Consider the following 19,684-nt stretch of genomic DNA (forward strand, 5'->3'; position numbering starts at 1 on the left):
ACCTCTGTGACTTCAGGCAAGTTATTAATCTTCCTAAGTCTGGTTCCTCATTGAAAAATAAGAATCATAAATGTTGTATGGATAAAATGCAATAATTTATGCAGAAGCCTAATAAATTATTACAGCAGAGGCCTAATAAATTATTACATTATTTATTTATTTATTTATTTATTTTGAGATGGAGTCTCACTCTGTCGCTCAGGCTGGAGTGCAGTGGCACGATCTCAGCTCACTGCAAGCTCTGCCTCCTGGGTTCAGGCCATTCTCCTGCCTCAGCCTCCCAAGTAACCGGGACTACAGGCGCCCGCCAACATGTCCGGCTAATTTTTTGTATTTTTAGTAGAGACAGGGTTTCACCGTGTTAGCCAGGAAGGTCTCAATCTCCTGACCTTGTGATCCGCCCGCCTCGGCCTAACAAAGTGCTGGAATTACAGGCTTGAGCCACCGCGCCCGGCCATATTATTTTTTTATTTGACTTGCTCATATACTTGAATCAGTAGGGGCATTTGTTGAGCACTGACCATGACAACACAGGTGATATACGATGCAACGGTGTCAGACCCCGACAAAGAGTGCGCACACGGGCATGAGTGGCTCTGATGCAGGACGGCAGGACGGCATCAGCACCAGCCTGGACTGTGGGGACACCAACAAGGGAGCGCTTTATCCTGGGGGAAGAAAGTCTCATGAATTCAAGCTGGTCCTTCAAGGATCCTTAGAACAGCAGCATTCTCTCTACTGGTGCACATAGATGTTAAAGATGTACCATCTAGGAATAGGCTGCCTAAGATGGAACCCCAGCTCTGCCTCTTATTACCAACCTAACCTTGGGCAAGTTACTTAAGCTTTTACGTCATAATTTCTGCAGCTGCAAGACAGAGCTCATGTTAACACCTACTTCATAACGTGGTTACGAGGATTAAATGAGATAGTTGATGTGACGCACAAGCCTTCAGTACATTGTCACAAAGAAATTCCTCAAGAAATGTTGGAGGTTAATGGTACTGTGGGAATTTTATTCCTGGAAAAGGGAACATTTGAGCAAAGAGAGGAATGCACAGGATAATTAAAGGAATATCTTGTGGCTTAGTTTGACTGAATCATAGCACATATTATGGGAGAAAAGGCAGGTCCTCAAGTAACCTCTCTGGGTTAGTCTTTGCATTCACTTGCGACATTTTCTCGATTCCATCAGTGTACATTCCGTGTCTCTCTCTAGTTCCTGGACTCTCTAAGACTGGAGCTCACATTGTAACCACTCAGACCACTCAGCCTTCTCTTTTCCATGAGAATCATCTTCCATCCCTATTTTCAGACTATTCTGGTTTCATCAGCTTTTTAAGACAATTATTAATATTTTGATGAAGTTGGCAGTCTAGTAATGACAGTGTGATCACTCAACCTGGTTATAGAGAAAAACATGTTTGCAAATTTTCCATCTGGTGAAAAGTCTAAAGGTCCCAAGCTCATTTCTGTAATCTCTCAAATTCCAGTGCCTATTCTAGAAGGGGGCTTGGTCAGACTGGACCAGACAGCCACCCTGAACCTGGAGGGAACAAGCTCAACAGCACGGGGACAGGGATGGAGGTGAGGACACCAAGTTGTGGGTAGGCTGCAGGGTCTACAGAAGAGTCAGTTCATTTTTAAAATGAGATGCCTGTGAGTCCCCCATGTGAATCAGCTGTCACTGCAGGGTACTCATGCTGTTCCTATCATATCATTGGGATACTTTTCAGAGCATGGTTCCCAATACTCAGAACCTTTTATTTTATTTATTTTTCCCAGAGAGGTATTGACGTATTTGCATAAAGAAATAGAAGTTGCTGTCTCATGGACTTTTGGATGCAGAATAATTATTTTGCAAAACAATATGAATAAACAGCAGAAAAAAAGTAGGAAAATAGAAAGAGAAGCAGATGCCCCATCTCCAGGGTGTGAGTATCATCACCTCACGTTTACATCAGAGTTCCTGAGTATCACTCTCAGATCATAGTTATTTTACTCTTTCCCCCAATATCTACAAGTACAGTCTGACACTGTGCAAAGCTACCAGTGTCCCCTGAGGGTTGTTTGCCCCTAATGGGTCTTCTCTCTGCCCTTCCCACTTCAGCTTCCAGTCTCAGGTCTCTTGCCCCAGCAGAAGCCCTGCCCCTCACCGTGTGGGGACAGGAAAGGTCCCTTCCCAAGCACCACATTATCAACTACTATTGGACCCACCTGGGCAATTTGGCAGCCTATGTGCCCTGGCATTCTGGGACAGCTTAGGAGTGTCTGAGAATAGACAGAGATGGCCCAGAGCTGCAGCTGCACAGCTGAGGCAGAGAGTGCCCCAGCGCCCCAGCCTCAGGCAGCCTCCTCGGCCTCCCTCCCAGGAGCAGGCTGGCTGCACAGCTGATCCTCACTAATCCCGCTCCGTAGAGCCAAACTGCTTGATTTTCATATATCTATGACTTGCGTGTTCTTTACATCGCCTGCTTTATTTTCAAACCTGTCAACAGGCCTCTGAAAAGGTTGCACACATGAGCAAAGGTCTGGGCAGCTGCAGGAAGGACAGAAGCAGCCGCAGGCTGGGCAGGAGGGGGAAGGCCTGGGGTGGCAGCCCAGCTACAGCAGGGCAGGCACTCAGACCTGGGAGACTGAGTCAGGAGAACATGGACTTCCCATTTTGGGGGTTTTGTCTCATCAAAACAAAAACCAGGCATATGTTTTTCTGCCCTGAGATCCTATCTGGTTAGATTAGCAAGCTGGCTATAAATCTGAGATGGACCACAGACTTACTGAACTATATTTATCAAGTTTCTTAATAAAGCAAAGGCCCAGAAGCCTTTGAGAGTGAACACTGTTTTTTTCTGACAGAGACATAAGCCAGCAACAAGCAGTTTATTGTTGTTGTTCAGTTGCCAAGTGGGTGATTCAATTAAAATAGGAGCTACATCAGATCTGTTTGTATGAACCCACAGCGTTGCTATTTGTAAAGGGGCCCTACTTCTCGGACTTACATCATTGCTATTTTTTTTTCAAGATTGTTTTAAGGTCTCTAAAAGAAGACTCACAGGTTGAGATTTGCCTACCGCGTTGTGCCGACAAAGACCAGACAGTCAGACTGAGGCTGTCTCTGAATATGGATGTTGTGCCAATCATTGTTTCTAAGCTGACAGGTCAATTCAATCTAACAATGGAATTCAAGATAATGAAAGCCAGAATATCAGAATAGAAGAGGATCTTGGGAGTTACAAGGCATGACTCCTTCATTTGAAGCTGAGGAAAGTAAGGACCAATGACTTTGCTAGACTGGGACTTGAAGGCAGAATTATTAGGGCTCTTTCCAGTGGACTACACATACCCGCAAGCTCCCTGGCATCTTGAAATAGAGTCTGGTTCAGGAGCTTCATGTCGAACCAGATAAATGTGTAACACAATGGGAGAGAGGAAAACCCGGGTGCCATAGATGGGAAGAACAGTATTGTGGGCTCTCATATCTACAGGTGTCCTCTCAAATTAGAGAAGTAGCCTCCAGATTTTGTTTCACCCATAGACCATGTGGAGAATTCAGTCTCTGATGGGCCCCACAAAAAAACTATAGAGGAGATGGGGCCCGGTGGCTCACGCCTGTAATCCCAGCACTTTGGGAGGCTGAGGCGGGCAGATCACAAGGTCAAGAGATAGAGAGCATCCTGGCCAACACGGTGAAACCCCATCTCTACTAAAAATACAAAAATTAGCTGGGCATGGTGGCAGGCACCTGTACTCCCAGCTACTCGGGAGGCTGAGGCAGGAGAATCACTTGACCCTGGGAGGTGGAGGTTTCAGTAAGCCGAGATCACACCACTGCACTCCAGCCTGGAGACAGAGCAAGACTCCGTCTCAAACCTAGAGGCAAAATAGCAAGATAATCCAGGGACTAATGAGTAATGCAGAGGAAACATACCTTTTCTGGTGGACGCTAATGCACTCTTCAAATATTTCAATGTAACAGGATTCTAAGTTGGAAGTTTTAATTGAAGTATCATGATTTAATAAATATCAGATACAGAAATATCCAAAAAGCCACCCAATAATGATTTCACATTTCATGATCCTCTCTTTGGAGAAGCCTGCACTATGAATACCTCACAACCCTCAAAGAGTGTGGCATGGGAGGGCATCTGTTCCTCCCCTCAAGTCCCTTAGGAGAAGGCTCAGGGGATGACTCAGGAGTCTATGATATGTCCCCTTGCAGGTAGAGGAGTGATGCGGACTGGTGCCCTTCTCTCACCCTTACAACGTGAGGGATGGCCTGCTAAGGGGGAGATGATGGTGTTAGGCAGCTTACTCCCCTGGAGTTTGTTAAGATGATGCACTCAGAGTGTTCAAGGACCAGATGTAGGCCACGTTGGGGAGCTGGCATTGGGATGGTCGGCAGAGGTTTCCAGGGGCTAACGAGAAGATATGTGACCACTAGAGCAGAAAGCATCACAGCATCCGAGGGTCTGAAGGTAAAAGACCACCAGGGAGCAGAGAAGCCTTATAAGAAAACCAGGAGAAAGCACCAGACTGTAACTGTTCCCAAGCTTGCTGAGGTCTGAGCCAGCTGTCTTTGGTTGGGCTTCCTGGGAGCATTGTCTGAAATAGGGATTCTTGTGAAGTGGTTTACTGGGGGAGTGCTCTCGGCAAAGCAGAATAAAAAGGAGAGAAGCAAAATAAGGATGTGGTCTCTGTTCAAGGCTAGCCCCTGACTCGTCCCACAGCAAGCTCTGGTCTGTCCTGGAGAAATGAGGCCAGGCTTTTACCTCCCTGTCAGTTGGTCATTGGCTGCTGAGTGCAATGTGGGGGAAGGCGAGGAAGCAGCTGGGGAGAAAGTTGGGGAGTTAAATAGGGAGGGGAAGGGCCATGACTCAGAAAAGGTGGCTTCCATTTGGTCAAAGGCAAATTCTCCCAAGAGGGGGAGAACTATAAGCCATTAACAGCCAATAGTCACAGCACTCAATGGGTGGAGACCTAGGAGGAACATCAACACATTTGCTGTAACAGCTTCATGCCTGTCGAGCTTTTTATTAATAGTTCTCCTGGCCGGGCATGGTGGCTCATGCCTGTAATCCCAGCACTTTGGGAGGCCAAGGCGGGCAGATCACGAGGTCAGGAGATCGAGACCATCCTGACTAACATGGTGAAACCCCGTCTCTACTAAAAATACAAAAAATTAGCCGGGCGTGTTGGTGGCCGCTTGTAGTCCCAGCTACTCGGGAGGCTGAGGCAGGAGAATGGCGTGAACCCAGAAGGCAGAGCTTGCAGTGAGCCGAGATCGCGCCACTGCACTCCAGCCTGGGCGACAGAGCAAGACTGTTTCAAAAAAAAAATAGTTCTCCTTACATTTCCTTGCTCCCAACTCTTCCCAACTCCCTGAGGGTCAGAAACAGTGCCCATACGCTATAATAGGCCTAGCTAGAGTTAGGGTATAAGTCTTAACTTTGAATGAAATTGAATGCTTTGACTATCACATAGGAATGAACATTTTTAATGTTTTATTTTAATATTATATACATATAGAAAAGGACACATATCACAAGCATACAGCACAAGTGCTCGCAGACCACACCCATGTGACAATCCCCACCATCAATAAAGAGAAACTCACCAGCAACCGAGTTGCCTTCACACTCCCTTCCTGTCACTCTCCTCTCACCTCTGCCACGTGATAACTACTAGAGTAATTGTCTAACAGCACAGATTCATTTTGCCTGTTTTTAGTTTTTATATAAATGGAATCTTATAATATGTACACTTCTGTGTCTGGCTTCTTTCAACACTATGTTTATGAGAGTCATCCATATTTTTGCATGTTCTTGTATATTACACTTTCTCTGTATAGTATTCATTTGAATGACTGTACATAAATTTATTTATCCATTCCACTGTTGATAGAAATTTTAGTAGTTTGCAGTTTAGAGTTATCACATATAGTGTGAAAATGTTAATACATGGCATGTGGTAAATCTGTGTACACATTTCTGTATATAGGCCCTGGGATTAATAGACTCATAGGCACCTTGGAGTTAATAGGATCATAGACAACTATTTATATGTGTGTGTGTGCATGTGTGTGTATATTAGTAAATACTGCCCAACAATTTTCAAACGTGGCTGTAACATTTATAACCCCACCAGCAGTGATGAGAGTTCTAGTTGCTTTAGACCCTTGTTAATGCTTGGTATTTTCTGTCTTGTTCATTTTAGCTAGCACTGGATATTGTTAATTACTGAATTGAGCTTGTGTATGACATAAGTGCTTGAGGGCTTGCAATTGCCTAAGAGTGATCAGAACGGTCTGAAAGTCTTTCTGCATTTTCATATGAGGACAAAGGAAGGCCTGTCTGCAAACAAGCAAGTTTAAAGGGACTAGGAGAAACAAAAGCAAAGTTATTTTTATAATTATATGCTTGTGAGTCCTCCCACTCAACCTACTGGTAACACTGAGACAATATTATCATCCTCTTCCTCATCATCGTTATTTATATTATTTTAATTTTATTTTTATTACTATTGATTTTTACCAAAGCACGGAGATTTTCTATGAAAGATGATGAAATTTTTGTACTCTTGAGCTTCCTTGTCTTGATGAAACCTAGGATTTTGACATATCTGAAGCTCAAGTTTATAACTAATGCTTTCACTCTTAAACTGATATCAAAAATCCCGCTTCATTTCCTACTACCACGGGGGCTAGGAAGATAGTTTTCATAACAGAAAAAGACAAGAGGTAGATCATTATCTCCTTGCTTGTCATGGGGAAAGAGAAGAGATGAAAAAGATTTTTTTCAAGCTCCTTCACACCCATCTCACCTCCCCTTCCCCATTTCCCAAAGGAACACACACAAATAGCTCATTCCCTGAGCTCCACTTAGGAGACCAGCCTGGACAAAGTGTTTCCCTCCAGGATGCACATAGGTCCTCCTTTGTAAGAAGTGGGGCACACATACCACTGCTGGACAATGTGGGCCTTCAAGATAATTGGTCCGTGGATGGGCTTCTGGAAAGCAAACCAAGCCTTTTGTTATTTTTTCCCATATTTTTGTCCAGCCAGTTGGTTTTTGAGAGAGTAAGGGGTATAAGGAAGTTGGGTCACTGAGGAAGGCTCTTGTTTGGGGAATTTTCACCAAACATGTCATTTTCTAACTGGGGCTATTTGCTGTGGTCTTTCTGCCTGACTGTCTGCATTGAGTGATGGTTATAATTAACAAATAGCAGCAGCGTTTCCATCGCAAGCTCATACTGTGGTTTCTCTGACTCATCCTAATGAACTATGGGCCCCTCGAAGTGAAGGTTATTTTTTTTTTCCTTCCTGAAAAATATATTGCAGTGATGGCCTTAATTGAAACTGCTGAATGGTAAAATGTAATTTGTTGTTCATTTTTTTTAAAATGTTATATTGAAAAGCAGGAGAAGAGGTGAAGTCAAATGCTGTTTATCTGTATGTTGTGTGTATACTCATGTATTTTGAGACCTTTATTTTTAAAATTGTAACAATATTGGTGGCCATATGGCCCCAGCAAAATTACCCAAATGTTTAATTGAAACGAGACTAATTGTCATGCAAATATATTACTACCAGACAAGCTAACAAGAATAATGAAAAATGAAGTACATTAGAGGATACTTGGAAATGTTGATTTTGTGATTTTCAGCCAGGAAAGTGGCTGAAAGAGTTCTTACTGGGGAGGGAGTGATTTATCCTGTTTAGCTTAAGTGAAAGTGAGGAATCCCAAAGGTTTGTAATAGCCTTTATGGTTCTCTTTACTAGTATAACTCCTGCTCAGAGGGGCTTATCTGTGACAGAATGAGTTTTTACTTAAAGGGACGGTGGCTGGCTGCTTGCCATTCACTAAAGATTCCACCACACCTGGGAGGAGAAGAGAAATACACCTCCTACTACTCATACCTTGGGGAAATTCTCTGCTTCTCAGAGGAGCAGGAGTCAGATTGGAAAGGGACCTTGAGGAAAATGAACCCAGAAGCATTTCAGAAGGAAAGCGGGCTTTCTTCGGAGATAGCACCAGGACAACAGGCATAGACTTGGATGCTGAGCAAATCACCCGGAATCTCCTAAAAATATTTACTACTGTGCCTGACCACAGGCCTACTGAAGCAGAACCTGCAGGGTAAGGCCAAGGCCCTGTGATTCTGATGTGCACCCACATTTGAGAATCAGTGATTCTAGTTAAACTCCTTCTTTCAGAGTCCAGGTCAGTAAGATTCAAGAAAGTAAATTCCTCACCAGTGATCAGCAAGTGGTTAGTGACAAGGGAGTGTCTACGACTGCCTTCTGGGTGCTTTTGAGAGGTGACAGCGTGCTGGCAGTCCTCACAGCCCTCGCTCGCTCTCGGCGCCTCCTCTGCCTGGGCTCCCACTTTGGCGGCACTTGAGGAGCCCTTCAGCCCACCGCTGCACTGTGGGAGCCCATTACTGGGCTGGCCAAGACCGGAGCCGGCTCCCTCAGCTTGCAGGGAGGTGCGGAGGAAGAGGCGCGAGCGGGAACCGGGGCTGGCACAGCGCTTGAGGGCCAGCTGGAGTTCCGGGTGGGCGTGGGCTTGGCGGGCCCCGCACTCGGAGCAGCAGTCCGGCCCTGCTGGCCCAGGCAATGAGGAGCTTAGCACCCAGGCCAGCGGCTGCGTAGGGTGTACTGGGTCCCCCAGCAGTGCCAGCCCACCCGTGCTGCGCTCGATTTCTCGCCGGGCCTTAGCTGCCTTCCCACGGGGCAGGGCTCGGGACCTGCAGCCCGCCATGCCTGAGCCTTCCCCCGCCTCCGTGGGCTCCTGTGCGGCAGGAGCCTCCCTGATGAGCGCCGCCCCCTGCTCCACGGAGCCCAGTCCCATCGACCACCTGAGGGCTGAGGAGTGCAGGCGCACTGCACGGGACTGGCAGGCAGCTCCACCTGCAGCCCCTGTGCGGGATCCATTGGGTGAAGCCAGCTGGGTTCCTGAGTCTGCTGGGGAGGTGGAGAACCTTTAAGTCTAGCTCAGGGATTGTAAATACACCAATCGGCACTCTGTATCTAGCTCAAGGTTTGTAAACACACCAATCAGTACCCTGTGTCTAGCTCAGGGTTTGTGAATGCACCAATCGACACTCTGTATCTAGCTACTCTGGTGGGGGCTTGGAGAACCTTTGTGTGGACACTCTGTATCTAGCTAATCTGGTGGGGATGTGGAGAACCTTTGTGTCTAGCTCAGGGATTGTAAACGCACCAATCAGCGCCCTGTCAAAACAGACCACTGGGCTCTACCAGTCAGCAGGATGTGGGTGGGCCAGATAAGAGAATAAAAGCAGACTGCCGGAGCCAGCAGTGGCAACCCGCTCGGGTTCCCTTCCACACTGTGGAAGCTTTGTTCTTTCGCTCTTTGCAATAAATCTTGCTTACTGCTCACTCTTTGGGTCCACACTGCTTTTATGAGCTGTAACACTCACCGCGAAGGTCTGCAGCTTCACTCCTGAAGCCAGCGAGACCACGAGCCCACCGAGAGGAACGAACTCCAGAGGCGCCGCCTTAAGAGCTGTAACACTCACCGTGAAGGTCTGCAGCTTCACTGCTGAGCCAGCGAGACCACGAACCCACCAGAAGGAAGAAACTCTGAACACATCCGAACATCAGAAGGAACAAACTCCAGACGTGCCACCTTAAGAGCTGTAACACTCACCACGAGGGTCGGCGGCTCCATTCTTAAAGTCAGTGAGACCAAGAACCCACCAGTTCCAGACACACTTTTCTTGCATTAGATCCTGTGATGGTTAATATTGAGTGTCAACTTGATTGAATTGAAGGATGCAAAGTATTGTTCCTGGGTGTGTCTGTGAGGGTGTTGCCAAAGGAGATTAACACTTGAGTCAGTGAACTGGGAAAGGCAGACCCACCCTCCATCTGGGTGGGCACCATCTAATCAGCTGCCAGCATGGCTAAAATATAAAGCAGGCAGAAGAACATGAAAAGACTAGACTGGCCTAGTTTCCCAGCCTACATCTTTCTCCCGTGGTGGATGCTTCCTGCCCTCAAACATCAGACTCCAGGTTCTTCAGTTTTAGGACTCGGACTGGCTCTCCTTGCTCCTCAGCTTGCAGATGGCCTATTGTGGGACCTTGTGATTATGTGAGTTAATGCTTAATAAACTCCCCTTTATATGTATATCTATCCTATTAGCTCTGTTCCTCTAGAGAACCCTGACTAATACAGTTCCCTTACCTTCAAAAGGTTGTCAATTCTGAGCTAGGCATGATGGCTCATGCCTGTGATCTCAGCACTTTGGGAGGCCAAGGCAGTTGAGTTGACTGAGCTCAGGAGTTGGAGACTAGCCAGGGCCACATGGTGAAACCCCACCTCTCCAAAAACAGTAAAAATAAAAAATTAGCCAGGCATGGTGGTGTGTACCAGTAGTCCCAGCTACTCAGGAGGCTAAGGCAGGAGGATTGCTTGAGCCCAGGAGATCAAGGCTGTGGTGAGCTGTGATCTGGAGCGCCACTGCACTCCATCCTGGGCAATGGAGCCAGACCCTGTCTCAACAACAACAATGAAACCAAGATTGTCTGCTGTATGACAAGCTTACCTCTCTGAACTTCACTGTCCCCATTTGTAAAATAAGGATAAAAAGAACTACCAAATGAGGATTTCAAAAAAAGATAATGAAAGGTTTTGAAAATTATAAAAGCAGGGTAAACAGAAAGTATTACTCTTATTATTTATACCAATACTCTCATGTTTATACAAATTATATAGGCATACACAGGAATCCCAGAAAAAAAAAAGGAGCAATTAAAAAGTCTATCAGCAGACATGAGCCCTTAAAGCATTCACCAAGATAACACATAAGCAGGACTTCAGGTGACAATTAATGTAAGCCTGAGAGGGACTGGGCTGGGGACCAACCAAATTATTCCTTTAGCTGTTGATCACTTTTTGGCCTCCTTCACCCTAACCCTCAGGCTACTTTGGTTTGTTGTTCTGTTTAGTAATTTAATGATGGCTAAATCTGCTGTGATCTCTCATCCATCCTGAGCCTCTCCCACTTCATATTGTAAGCTCCCTGGAAATGAAGACCACGTTCTTAATTCTTCAGAAAACTGCCAGCCCCTAACATAATATCCCATGAATGGTGGATGATTAATAGGTGATTCTAGAAACATGAAGCTAGAAGAAGCCTCTGAGATCCATTCATTCAATAGTTTAACAAGTTTTTACTGAGTGTCCACAATGCACCAGACACTTTTCTAGGATCTGAGATTAAGGAGGCGACCAAGAAAAAAGCTGACCCCTGCCGTCTGATGCTCAGTTTCTAGTGGGTGAGAGAGTCAATCTATAAATCAGTAAAGAAATCATAAATAAATGAAGCACTGGGTAATGCTAAGGGTTGTAAAGCAAACTGCAGCAGAGTCAAGAGCTGAGAGTTGGGGAACGCAGGTTGGTTTAGCCAGTAATGTCTCTGGGAAGGGGAACATTGGAGCACAATCTGAGTGGGCTGAGGACTGGGTCACACTGTGACTTAGGGTTAAAACAGTCCAGGTAGAAGGAAGAGAAGTGCCATGCCCTAAGACAGAAGTGAGCTTGGTGCATTACAGTGACAGTACAGAACCCAGGGCAGAGGTGAGATGCCCAAGACAGGCAGGAAGGCTGGCAGCCAAGATAAGATGCTAGAGTTTACTCCCAGAGTGAAGGGATGCAGCCATCTGAGGGTGTTGAGGCAGGAGGTGAACAAATGTGACGCACTTTTAACATTACTCTAACTGCCATGGGGAACAAGAGTGGAAGCAGAAAACCAGTCTGGACATTTTTGTGGAGAGGAGTGATGGTGGTTTTGATGCGGGCAGAGGTAGCAAGACTCAGATGCAGTCAGGTCATATCTGGAAGGGGACTCTAATATTTGCAGAATGTCTCCAAGGGCCAGGATGCTTTCCTGTGCTCCTAGGAAGAGCTTGGGGCTGCAAAGGAGGTGTGGAAGGGAAGGTCCAGGGGTCACCAGCACCTGGTTCCTACCCAAACAGTTCAGCCTCACCTGCCTCACCACGGGGCTTCCCAGCAGCCCTACCCCATGCATTTGGCTCCGTTGACAAGTCATTTGTTAACACCCTGCCCTTCTATGCCACATCATTTTTAGTAACAATCATGAATGAAAAGAATACTAATAACTTAGAAGGAAACAGAGAAAATTTGCTTTCATTCAATTTCATATATAGAAAATCATGCTCTTAAATAAGAAAATAAAATTAAAATATGACAGAAAATAAATATTACAGTACAACAAGGGAGAAAAAGCACAGCTATTTATTCAAAAGTTTTATACTTACCTAACAGTTTTGAAATGTGATTCTTTGGTTGCAGTGGAATATAATAATATGTCATATAAATGACTCTCTAGTAACTAATAAGTACATTTCAATAAAACAAGTGTCTATAAAGAGCACAATTTAGATGACTAATTGTACTGCTGATGTAATGCTGTTTATGTTTTCTAGCTTTGCTCTTCAGTTTTAAAACAGTAATATTTTAAAAAGAATAAATTTAAGTTTTGCAGATACTATTCCATTTTAGTAAGTTATTTCATAGTTTAAACTCACATGAATATCTGTAGACAGTTACAAACACATATATAGATATTACACCTTACAGTCTATAGTGTTTCAATGTTTTAAAATTTTAAACAAATAAAAATTCCAAGTGGTCACAAAGAATGGCAACTTATGCAAACATAGTTCTATTTCTTCTCTCTGTCCATTGCGCAATTATTATTTATTTTGAAACTACTGTTTAAGTGCAGGAAAATGTAGTTCTGCAGTACCTGGAGACAGGAGCTGCACTAGGAGCACGCGAAGGATTCTAAACAATTACAAACTCATTGACAAGCAAACATGTTCAGGGAAATATTCATGTGTGACGGGGTGGCTGCCTAACTGTGAGCTTTTCAAATAAACCTCTATGTAAATTACAACGTTTTTTAAAGGATAATTAATAAGCCATGCTATGTTTAAGTTTATATATTATGAAAACTCAGCAGCAGCCACATAAATTGTTGAGAACTCAGACCAGCAAAATATTTTTTGGTAGGGTATTTTGTCACTGAGTGGTCAAAAGTAACAGGCAGACTTTCAGTAAGTTTTAGGAGAGTTTTGAATTTCCTACCGACAATGCATCCCCCTTCTTGCCTGAATCTAGGGGAGAAGGCTGCCAGTGCTCAGCAGCTGCTATGCCACCAGTTCTAAGTAAGGTGTCCTCAGCATTGCCCTGGGCTACGAAAAGTCGGAAAACCTCCATCTAGCCCAGTCCTCTTGCCCACATGAGGAACCTGAGGTCAGGCGGCTTGTGTGACTCCCAGGGTGAGATGCATTCATGGAAGGAAACCAGAGCAAGGGCCTCCAGGCCTCTGTGCGTGCCGGGGAGGCACGTGATCACATGACTTGGAACACAGCAGGTTCTGTTCATGCAGGCAGGGCACCCTCAGCATGTCCCCAGGGCCCAGGCAATAATAGAGGGAGGCTGAGCCTGAGGCTATGGAGAGGTGGACAACACAGGTCCAGGCTAGACAGAGCCACCACTCAGCTTTGACCCATAGTTGCTATGCAGGAAAGCAGGCAAGTGATGCCAAGTTTTCTGCTTTTTCTAGACAAACCAAAGAATCCATCTCCTTCTTTGGCACAAAATCTCCAAAGTTTTATATTTTGGCAAATAATTCAAATTACTTGAACAGAAGCAAGAAGGAAGGAAGGGAAAGAGGGAGGCAGGGAGTAGGGGGAGAGAGAAAGAAAACCCTTAGGCCCACCGCCTCGGCATGCTGGGTGTGGTCAGGCACTGCAGCCTCACCACCTCTGTGCTGATAATTAGCTACCAGACAAACACAGGTTTAGTCCGCAGCTCCTACATCAACAGGTAGTGAGGTCTCCTTAGGTAGTGGAAAGTTGTGTTAAAGGCAAATAAATCTCAGGCCCCAAAATCACTCAAGCCCAACTGCTTAGGGCAAATCTGCCTCCCGTTCTATTCAAAGTCGCCCCTCTGCTCACTGAGATAAATGCATATCTGATTGCTTCATTTGGATAGGCTCATCAGAAGCTCAAAAGAATGCAACCATTTCTCTCTTACCTACCTGTGACCTGGGCGCCCTTGCACCACTTGGAGTTGTCCTGCCTTTGCCTCAAGTTGTCCTACCTTTTTGGACTGAACCAATGTACCTCTTACACATATTGACTGGTGTCTCGTGTTTCCCTACAGTGTATAAAACTGAGCTGTGCCCCGACCACCTTGGGCACATGTCATCAGAACCTCCTGAGGCTGTGTCACAGGCGTGTATGTCCTTAACTTTGGCAAAATAAACTTGCTAAATTAACTAAGACCTGTCTAGATTTTCAGGTTCACAGTTGGAGACTCTATACCCCTTTATTGCACTAGTTTGAGCTCCTTCAGGCCAACACTAGACATTTGGCTCCATGTTAAGGGAAGGACACAGACCCCTTCACGTCCGAGGAAAGGCGGGTGCTGAGCCTTGCCGCTCTCATCATCCAAGGACTTGCACTCTGCTTCAGTGTCTCGCTCCTGCTGTCTCTGCCATCAGTGGCAGACACAGCTAACACTGCGACAGAGCCAGGGACCTAACAGGCTTACTTCAAGGGGCTAACCTGGGCTGCCAAGAACAATTTCTCCCTGTAACCTGTCAGGAGCGGACAAGGCTGCTGGAAGCTCATGTAACTTTTCACCACATGCCGTTTTGAAATAACTCTATTCCATGGGGAAAACCTTCAGAAGACTTTTCTTTGTAAACAGACTTGATGATAAAGACATGCTAAGTCCTAAAACCCAGAGGCTGTCAAGGATTTTACATTCTACCAATTTTGTCTTATCTCCTGGGCACTGTGGAGTTGAACAGAAGCTAGAGCTAAGTGCTAAACTCACTAGACATCTGCCAGCATCCGTCCATCACAAATGCGAGGGCCTCCCTGCCAAGTGGGCCACTCTCTCTGGTATAGGGAAAGATTCAAAGTTGTTATGAATGTTACCTGCAGATATTAAAAAGAAATGAGTTACACGTGTTTGTGTTTTCTGTTCTTACCTTCTCAGAAGTGAAATGCAGGAGCACACATATTGATCATGTAAATTTTTAAAAAATGATAATTCACACACACATTTGTACACAGAAGTCCAGGCAAAGAAAGATCAACATGTTTAGAACACTTACCTTCAGGCAGTGGAGTAAGAGATAATATATTTTTTTTTGCATAGTTGTATTTTATAAAAGTTCTATGATTGATATTTATTACTTTAGTCATAAGGGGGAAAGCAACCAATAAAGACTATGAAAGAATGAGAATATATGGTATATTAGTCTGCTAGGTCTGCCATAACTAAATACCACAGAGTGGCTTAAAAGAGCAGACATTTTTCTCTCACAGTCCTGAGAGCCATAAGTTTGAAATTAAGGTATTGGCAAAGTCGTTCGTTCTAGATCCTCTGAGAGAAAATCTATTCTGTGCATCCCTCCTAACTTGTGGTGGCTGCAGGCAAGCCTTGGTGTTTCTTGGCCGATAGATGCATCCTTCCAGTCTCTGCCTCACTCCTTACAGGGCATTCTGTGTCTCTCTGTGTCTTTATATGGTTTTCTTATAAGGCCCACCCCAATCCAGTATGACCTCGTCTGAATTTCACTAACTTACATCTGCAGAGACCCTACTTCCAAATCAGGTCATATTCTGAGGTTCTGGGTGGACATAATTTTGGGGATGGGGAAACACTATTCAATCCAGTACATATGCTTATAAAGTAGATGAATCCCCCCTGGGGATATTCAGATGCCCATTGACCCTATTAAGCCTTAATTCCTGAAAGTAGAGCTTCAGCTCCCAGGAGCATGTGGCCTACCTCCTCCTCAATCTCTGCTCTGGATGAGGAGTGGGGCCAGTGCAGAAGCAAGGGGTATAGACCAACAACATGACCCACAAGGACCACATCTGGTCCTGGTAAAGCCATGGGCCCCAGAGCCCTGGTGGGGCCCTGGGTGATGCTGAGAAGCCTGAGGATCACACACCTCCCTCACATAGTATTACGCCTTTGCAAGTGCGTGGGCATGTTCTTAGGATTAACCAATTACAAACTCAGTTTGAAGTGTGACAGTCATTCATTTTCTCCCTGAGTGGTACTGAAAGTAAAACTCCTGTCATGTGCGAGTCTGAGAAACATGTGATGACAAAAAGATTTCTTGTACTCAACAAGGTTGGAAATCACCATGCTACATCTTTTTCTGGAGCAGACTTCTTGTGGGATGAGAGGCTTTTATTGGGATGTAGTGTGTCTTGTGTCTTGTGTCTTATGTGACAGGCACCATGTACAGCACTTTGGGTCCATGTTTCTCGTAATCTTCAAATCAAACCCATGAGGCAATCATCCCATTTTTTAGATGAGGAAACAGGCTCAGAGAGGTTAGAGAATCACAGAGAGCCCCCAAATCACAAAGGTAGGAGCCAGCAGAGATGAGATTTGAATTTGAAGGTAAATATTTCTAAGACTTACACGATAGTGTTATTGGCTGAAGTGTGTCATTAACACTCTCTTTAGCACTGGATAAGCCATCAGAGACCTACACCCTGACACCATGTTGCTGTGCTCCCGACAGAATTTATTGTCATTCAGGAACACATCAGGGCTGTGGCCTCCAAGAGGGACTCTTTAATTGCCTTAGTAAACCCACTTCTTTTTTATGTGCAGATGCCACAGGGAACACCTTCCACTAAGTCTCTCTATGCCCAGTGCATGAAGCCCAGGGGAGACCTTCTGTAGGAGCCAAGTAATAGGAAGAGCTTGGCTTCCTCTAAATAATTGGTGTATTTTCTCCCTAGAGGCAAAAGGAATGGGGTAATCATTTACCCAGGTCTGTATTTTCTGTCCTCAAATCTGTCGGCTCAATCATAGTACTCTGGTTTAATTACCTTATAATCTGAATTTCTGCAATAAGATCCCCAGCCTGTACCCCAGGACCTGACCTACTTTTTCAATATTTAATTTTTTTGCCTTAATTTGTTTTAATTGATAACTTATTATTGTCTTGTATATTTTTTCTGATATCCTCCAGAAATCTTTTTTGTTTGATTTTTTACTCTCGTTGTTTTTATGTTAGTGTGGTTCTTACGCAGTAGGGGAAAAGGACTGTGGAGTCACTGACCTTTGCCATCTGCTCCTGCCAGCTCCTCTTGCCAGGGCCCCTCCAGCAGGCCAAGTCCCATATCCACCTGCTGGCTGCCCAGAGCTGCACACAGAGGACAAGAGCCCTCTGGCTCATTCATTGTTCACTCTACTCTTCCATCTTGAAGATTCTTAGGCTTAGGTCCTCAGGACACCAACTCCAAATGAGTTAATTAAAAAGACAAAGAATATAATTGTCAACAGAGTTCATGAGTTATCCAGCTTCAGGTAGTGTGTATTTCAACCTAAAAAACAAACAAACAAAAAAGAAAACTGCTAGTTTCAACAAAGGCTCCAGATTCCTCTGAAAATACACCTAACTTATGTAGGAAAATATAGAATCCTAGACAGGACACCAGTTCGTCAGTTTAACAAATGTGAGATTGAAGGGACTGAGCCACCAAGCTCTGCACTTTCTCAAACTGAAGCCAGACCCTCAAGCAGTTGTTAATTTTCAGTTTTTGTCCTTGACTCAATGGGAACACAAATATTCTAAAATGCAAGACCAGATAAAGTTGTGACAAGACATTAGGGGCTTGACTCCAGTTCCAGTTCAGCTGCAATATACTTACCATTCTCTACCTGTGCAAAGTACCCTCATGTTGTGTGAGTGAATTCCAAAGCCACTTTGTGACCTCTTCCGGCAAGGCCAAAACCATGTGGAGTGTAGAAGTGGGAAATGTCCTCTGCTCTGCTCCAAGCATGTGGCCTTCTGCCTGGGGCCAGAGGGAAGAGTCGGTCACGCCTAAGCCAACACCCACGGCATTCCACCATGTGGTAAGATCCCTCGGACTAAAACACAAAGCCTCATGGTAGCCTGACCTTTCCCAGGTGTTAACACCTGACCTGACAAAACTAGCAGTGCCCCTGCATTGAAGCAAGCTCCTTAGAAGGCAGCTTACTGTGAGCTGAGGTCAAGGAGAGTGACAAGGCCCAGCAGAAATCCTCTGAACAGCTGAGCAGTTTTGTTGCAAGTAACGGGGAGACCAAGTGCTGGGGAGCCATCACACAGGGATTCTGCAGCATGGGCATTAGGAAACAGCCCAATCACTGTTATTCTGCCCAGGGTCTATCTGTATCTAAAAGGGACATGAATCTAGGACAGTGATGAGTGGATCTTACTTTCACAAACATCATTTTCTCCAACTGATTCCTTTCTAAAAAGGAAAATTGACATTTTTGTCCCCTGAGGAGAACACCCAAAGCAGATACAAAGTTCCCTGTATTAAACAACATTTACAAGTCAGACTGTACTGCACAATACCCTCTACCCAAGACAAAAGTTTTATACCATTCATTTGCATAGACATAGCAAAATTATGCAACATGTCATCTTCACTCAAAATTCACTGTTTTATGAGGCAAGACTTACAACACTATTAGAATGTACAATGCTTCATTCTTTAGTAGTAATAATTTCAGAGAAAATGTTCGAAGATAAAAGCAAACATCCATTGGAATAGATTTTGCAGGATGTGAGAACAAGAACATGAAATTAATTTGTTTGATTGTCTAACTTAGGGAAAATGAAAAGAATCATTAAATTTTTCCTAAGAAAATATATTGGCCCTTGATCTCAGAATTACAAGAAACTCTTATGATAATTTAACCAAAGGTTCTAAAAGACTCAGATCCCTTGAAATTAAATACATGTGCATATGTGTTTTGTTATGGGAGACAAATCATATATTTAATCAGAACTTGAAGGGGGCTTGCCATTGGCCTAGTGCTCAATGCTTTCAGTTTGTGAATGAAGAAATGGACACTTATAAATGTAAATTTATCATAAAATAGTTGCAGAGTTTTGACTAAACTGTGATATTCTCATTTCCAGTATAGTCTCAATAGCATCGCTATTTTTAGGAAGCATTTGAAGCCTCTGTGAAAGGTTGGTCACATCTGTGGATTGGCCAATTGGCATTTTTACTGGACACTCGAAGTTGTCCAGTAAAAATTCAGATAAATCTGCCTTCAGCTAAAGTCACAGAGGGGTCAAAGAAAGCAGTAGCCTGCTTTACAGGAATGGGCAGAACCTTGCAACCAAATTAGTGATTATGTAAGCCTTTCAGTCTAATTTCAAAGTCTCTAACACTTAGGAAATTCTTCAAAGAGGCTAAAAATTTGGCACTGCATCATTTTTCCTCATGGGCATTTTCATTAAATTATAAGCAAATGCACATTCCCACACTGAAAACAGCACAAAGGAGGCTGCTCTATACCACTTGGCTCTCTGTGCAAAACTCGCTTTCAATTATCTTGATCCATATTGAACTCTCCCACCTCCTGTTAGCATCACAGCTTCTAGGAAACAGGCACACAAAGCAAGAGCAATTACCACACCATCACCCAAAACATAAATCAATAGTAACAAATGGCCCAGCATTTTCACATTGTTTATCCTAGCCCTTCCCTGCACCACATGGAGTCAAACTTGCTTTTCTTCCTTTATTTTATGAAATTACTGCATATAAACCAACTTTGTCATTAAGTCGGAAGCTGGGGTCT

The 19,684-nt window shown here is 44.5% G+C and overlaps 1 long non-coding RNA gene across 1 annotated transcript, besides 1 other annotated feature; it reads right to left on the minus strand.

Moving 5' to 3' along the window:
- Positions 1-449: 449 nt before the first annotated feature.
- Positions 450-18,139, minus strand: LINC01705 (long intergenic non-protein coding RNA 1705). Its single transcript, XR_001738485.2, has 3 exons — positions 17,752-18,139; positions 17,160-17,424; positions 450-668 (listed from the first exon to the last, which is right to left on the minus strand). It is a non-coding gene; the product is annotated as a long intergenic non-protein coding RNA 1705 (long non-coding RNA).
- Positions 8,201-8,449: a silencer, noted in NCBI's record as "fragment chr1:222222797-222223045 (GRCh37/hg19 assembly coordinates)". NCBI's record gives its function as "represses an EF-1alpha promoter that drives an FKBP-Casp9 reporter gene in an ReSE screen in phorbol 12-myristate 13-acetate-treated (for megakaryocytic differentiation) K562 erythroleukemia cells {active_cell/tissue: K562(+PMA)}" and the evidence as "EXISTENCE:reporter gene assay evidence [ECO:0000049][PMID:32094911]".
- Positions 18,140-19,684: the final 1,545 nt, after the last annotated feature.

This window comes from Homo sapiens, chromosome 1, assembly GCF_000001405.40.
Source record: "Homo sapiens chromosome 1, GRCh38.p14 Primary Assembly".
Classification (NCBI taxonomy): Eukaryota; Metazoa; Chordata; class Mammalia; order Primates; family Hominidae; genus Homo; species Homo sapiens.